This window comes from Homo sapiens, chromosome 12, assembly GCF_000001405.40.
Source record: "Homo sapiens chromosome 12, GRCh38.p14 Primary Assembly".
NCBI classification, from domain to species: Eukaryota; Metazoa; Chordata; class Mammalia; order Primates; family Hominidae; genus Homo; species Homo sapiens.
This window is the reverse complement of record NC_000012.12, coordinates 129,925,269-129,930,013: the sequence shown is the minus strand read 5'-3', so window position 1 is coordinate 129,930,013 and position 4,745 is coordinate 129,925,269.

The window sequence follows — 4,745 nt, the reverse complement described above, 5'->3', positions numbered from 1 at the left end:
AATGAGTGCATTGGGAAGAGGAAGGTGGATCAGCACCTTAGTCTGAGTCTGACCTGGAAAACTGAGTCCACGCCAGGTGCCTTCAGGGGTGACTTAACTGGGCCACTAATGAGAATTACTGGAAGAGCCGAAATGCCAGAGGTCGTGAGGAAACCAGGGAGCCTGTGCCATGCAAGGGCTGGAGGGACAACAACAGGGAAACAGGGAGAGGACACTGTGAGGTCAGAGAGTGACACTCCTTAACAAGAACTGCCGCCCATGAGGCGTCCCTCCTCCTGCCTTCCAGTCCCCTGCCCAAACCCTCACTGGCCAACCTAGTCAGAGACCAGGAGGCCAGGCATCCTGGAGAAAGCAAGCTTCAAGGGTCGGGATCACTGAGGCAGAGCAGAGCATGGAGGGGAGGGGCAGGGGAGCTGTCTGAGGCAACCGCAGTGGTAGTGCGGGATGGAGGGAGGCAGGAAGAAGAGAATTCATTCACCGTGTGGGGGCCTGGGAAGCCCTGAGTTCAATTCCCTGCTTGAAACTCAGAGGCCTGCATGGAATGGACACGATGAAAGAAAAATTACTTTTGAAAACCTCATTAGCACCCAGATGTTTTGTTATTAGATAATAATTTAATATAAAAAGGAAATGTAATGATTATAGTCATACACTATTATAATATAAACTGTGCCCCCATGAGATCTGAATTTCTTTCTTTTCTTACTTCTCTGAAGGCCCCCAAGCTTTTGGGATGCAAACGCTGCTTCCTCACACATTAGCCAAAGCAATTAAATTATTTATTAATGGCGCTTATTTAATTTGATATCTTGGGAGCTTTCTGTGCATGTCTGATGTCATTTGGGAAACAGACCTTTGTTTTTCATTTTTGTTTTAGAAAACATATTTGAGAGTGAATTATTCATGGGATTGTTTAATTTGGGGTGGGGGGAGTTTAATTATTTTGAGGCTGTGTGTCATTTTCACTTCCTTTGAAGACTGCCAGGAGTTAATTAGCCATCCCTAAATGAAATAGAACACTTTTCTCATTGCTTTTTGGATCAATATTTATTTTTTTCTGGATTACTTTTCATTTGTGATAATAGCTTTTATTAAGGTAAGTGATTTTATACATGTTTTGCAATCCATATGTGGCCGTTGTCATTATCGAAAAATGACCATGTCATCATTTCTTACAAAAATGTTTCTTAGACTGTAAGCTGCCTGAGAGCAGGAACCGCACTTTAGCCCTCTTTTTAAGAATGCAGATTCACATTTGAGGGGTATAGACCGTGTGTAAAATACTGTGCAATGCAAGTTAGAAATATGACCTGATTTCATTCTCACAGCAAGATTGCAAATTAAGGGTTAAGAGAGTTCCAAGGTCATAAATGAATCGATTGGCTATGGCCATTCCAGCCTCTGGCTTTTTTTTCTTCCTTTTTTCTTTTTTTTCTTTGAAACAGGGTTTTGCTCTTGTTGCCCAGGCTGGAGTGCAATGGCGTGATCCCAGCTCACTGCAACCTCCGCCTTCTGGGTTCAAGCGATTCTTCTGCCTCAGCCTCCCGAGTAGCTGGGATTATAGGTGTGCATCAGCATGACCGGCTAATTTTGTATTTTATTAGAGATGGGGTTTCATTATGTTGGCCGGGATGGTATTGAACTCCTAACCTCAGGTGATCCACCTGCCTCAGCCTCCAAAACTGCTGAGATTACAGGCATGAGCCACTGTACCTGGCCACCCCTTAATAACCTCCCCTAAACCTAGCATAATGATAATCATAATGACTGTATAAAATTCTACTTTGAGAATGAATGAAGAAATACAATGGTAAAGACATGTTTCAGAATTACTCCTGAGAAAGGATACAGTGTCAACTGATGGTCATGCAATGAGTTTGCTTTTAATCCCCAATGGGCAATCTATTGGTTTATTGGTTAGGACAATTGGTTGCAAATGACAGAAACTCAATGCAAAGTGACTTAAGATAAAAAAAGCAGTTTGGTTCATATCATCATACAGTGTATAGGAAATACGAGCTGCAGGCATGGCTGGATTCAGGTGCTCAAACAACGGACCTCTTTTCATCTGAAAGCTCCCCATTCCTCTGAGTTGCTTCCATTTGCAACCATTGTTTCCCCTCATGATGCTGGGATGGCAAACTGAGCTGCTCAAATCCACCTCCCAGTCTCTTAGCATCTCAGGCAGCGAGCGCCTCTTCTGATGCCTCCAGCAAAAGACCAGGAGAAGGTTTGATGGCCTCTGATTGTGTGTCTGTCTTCCAACCATTCCTGGGCCCTGTGCCCATCCAAGGCCTAGAAGTGAGGTCAGCAGCACCAAAAATGCTCGGCTTTAGGGGAAAGTGTGTTGTCTTAAAGGAATGTTAACATTCTCAAAGGAATGTTGAGGATGAATATAGTGCAGCCGAAACACATTAATGTTCATTTGTTGAATTTTGAGAAATGTGTTTAAATGCTTGTCATTTCTGATGATATCTTAAGCTTTCAATGTTTGACTCACTCTTCCAGAAGATTCCAGCACGCTCCATTGTCTCTGTGTCACGCTCCATGGCGGAGGCCGGGGTGTGGGTGGAGGACTGTTTTCTTTCTGGTGGCTGTGCTCTGTTTGTGAGTCACTGGGCTCCCGTTCTTAAAGCGGTTGCCTAGGATCTGTGATGAAAGCACAGACTTGAGGTGCTCATTTTTTATATGACTTGTCATTTCTGTAACTGTCACCTACCGACTTGAGGGGTCTTGGAGGGGAGCGGAGGACTCTGGAGCCAATGGCCTTTCTCTATCCCATGCATCTGTCTTCCAGGGTGCAAGATGCCAACAGCAGCCCGTTCCCTAGTCGAATGACTGCAGTGCGCAGAAACGCTTGCAGCAGGTGTTCCAGGTGATAAGGAAGCCACTGGGTGCAGGTATGCGATTGAAGATGTTGATGGGTATTTAACAGGGAGGCCTTCCTTAGTCTTGGATGCTCTGGCTTTCTCCCAGTCCTGGTTTCTTCCCTACTTCAGGGTCTGTCTGGGTCTGTGGGAAGTCCATTTTCATTTTTCCGTGTACTCCGTTTTCTCCGTGGCCAGCCCAAAGAACCTGGGCTTTCTGGGGCTTCGCCTCTGACTGCCAAGAAAACATGCTCTTCCTGTCTGCCTCTGCCATCTTGTCTTCCTATTTTGCACAACCAACTTCCCTGTCCTCGGGGTGACTGCACTTGTGGATCTCAGTCGGAGAATCAGTTGGGCGACAAAAAAAGGCCATGTCCTAACTTTTGCATGGTGCTGGCGGGTTCTGAAACCCAAGACACGCCTCTGACCCCAAGGCGCTCGGGGTCCGGCTCTGGCAGCAGGCAGATTTGCACAGGACGGCCTGGGCGCAGAGACTGAGGCCCCCAGCAGGAAGTAAGGCCCCGAACAGGGAGGGACGTGGGCTCAGCCCAATGAGCAAGCAGCGCGTACTTTTCCTTTTTGGTTCTTTTATTTTTCTTATTCTTTTTAGATGATTAAGACATCATTTAGACAATATAAAAGTCACCTCTCCCTTTTTTTGAGACAGGGTCTCACTGTCACCCAAGCTGAAGTGCAGTGGTGAGATCTTGGCTCACTGCAGCCTCCACCTCCTGGACTCAAGTGATCCTCCTGCCTTGGCTTCCTGAGTAGCTGGGACTACAGGTGCACACCACTGCGCTGAGCTAATTTTTGTATTTTTGTATTTTTTATTTTTTTGTAGAGATGGTCTCAGTATATCCCCCAGGCCTGTCTGGAACTCCTGGGCTCAAGCAATCCACCTGTCTGGGCCTCCCAAAGTGCTGGGATTACAGGCATGAGCCACCAAACCTGGCCAAAAGTCACCCTTTTGAGTTTATTCACAGGGTTCTGTGATCACTATGATGTAACTCTAGAACATTTTCGTCATTGCTGAAAAGAAAACTCATACCCTTTAGCGGTCACCCCCACTTTTCACGACCCCTCAATCCTGGCAACCACGAAGCAACTTCTTATTTCTACAGATTTACTCATTCTGGGCATTTAATGAAAATGGAATCACATGGCTCATGGCCTTTGGAGCCTGGCTGCTCACTCAGAGAGTTTTCCAGGCTCATCCATGCTGTAGCTGGTGTCCCTGTTTCATTCTTTTTTGTTGGCTGAGCGGCTTCAGCATTTTAAAAGCCCACCATGAATGTAGGAGAGTCCCAGCTGCTCCACATCTTGGTCTCGCTCCTTTTTTTTTTTTTTCCTTGCTAACTGGTTATTTCTTGCTATTTAAAATTTTTATTTTAATCCATTAGACAGTAGGCTTAATTTTCAATCTATTATTTAGTTTCATGTCTCTCAGTCTCCCATGCCACCATTTATCCAATTCAAATAAACATCTACGTACACATACATCTAGATCACAATGGAATATTCTCTTTGCATAGCAATAAAATATGTTTATGATTTTATAATAGAGACTGGATGATGATCTCAGTCAGTATTTCTCTGGCAATCCTAATATCATCACTATAGATCAGCAAGCCAAATTAGTCATTTTATCATGGGAAGAGTTTTGTGGGAAATTTTGTGGGGAATTTTTGTATGTTTGGTTGGAAATAGTAGAAACCTCAAGAAAACTTCAGCAGAGCTATCTCTATCTCTGTGTCTCTGTGTCTACCTCTGTCTCTGTCTCCATCTCTATCTTTGTCTCTGTCTCTGTCTCTATCTCGATCTCTGTCTCTGTCTCTGTCTCTATCTCAATCTCTGTCTCTGTCTCTATCTCTATCTCTG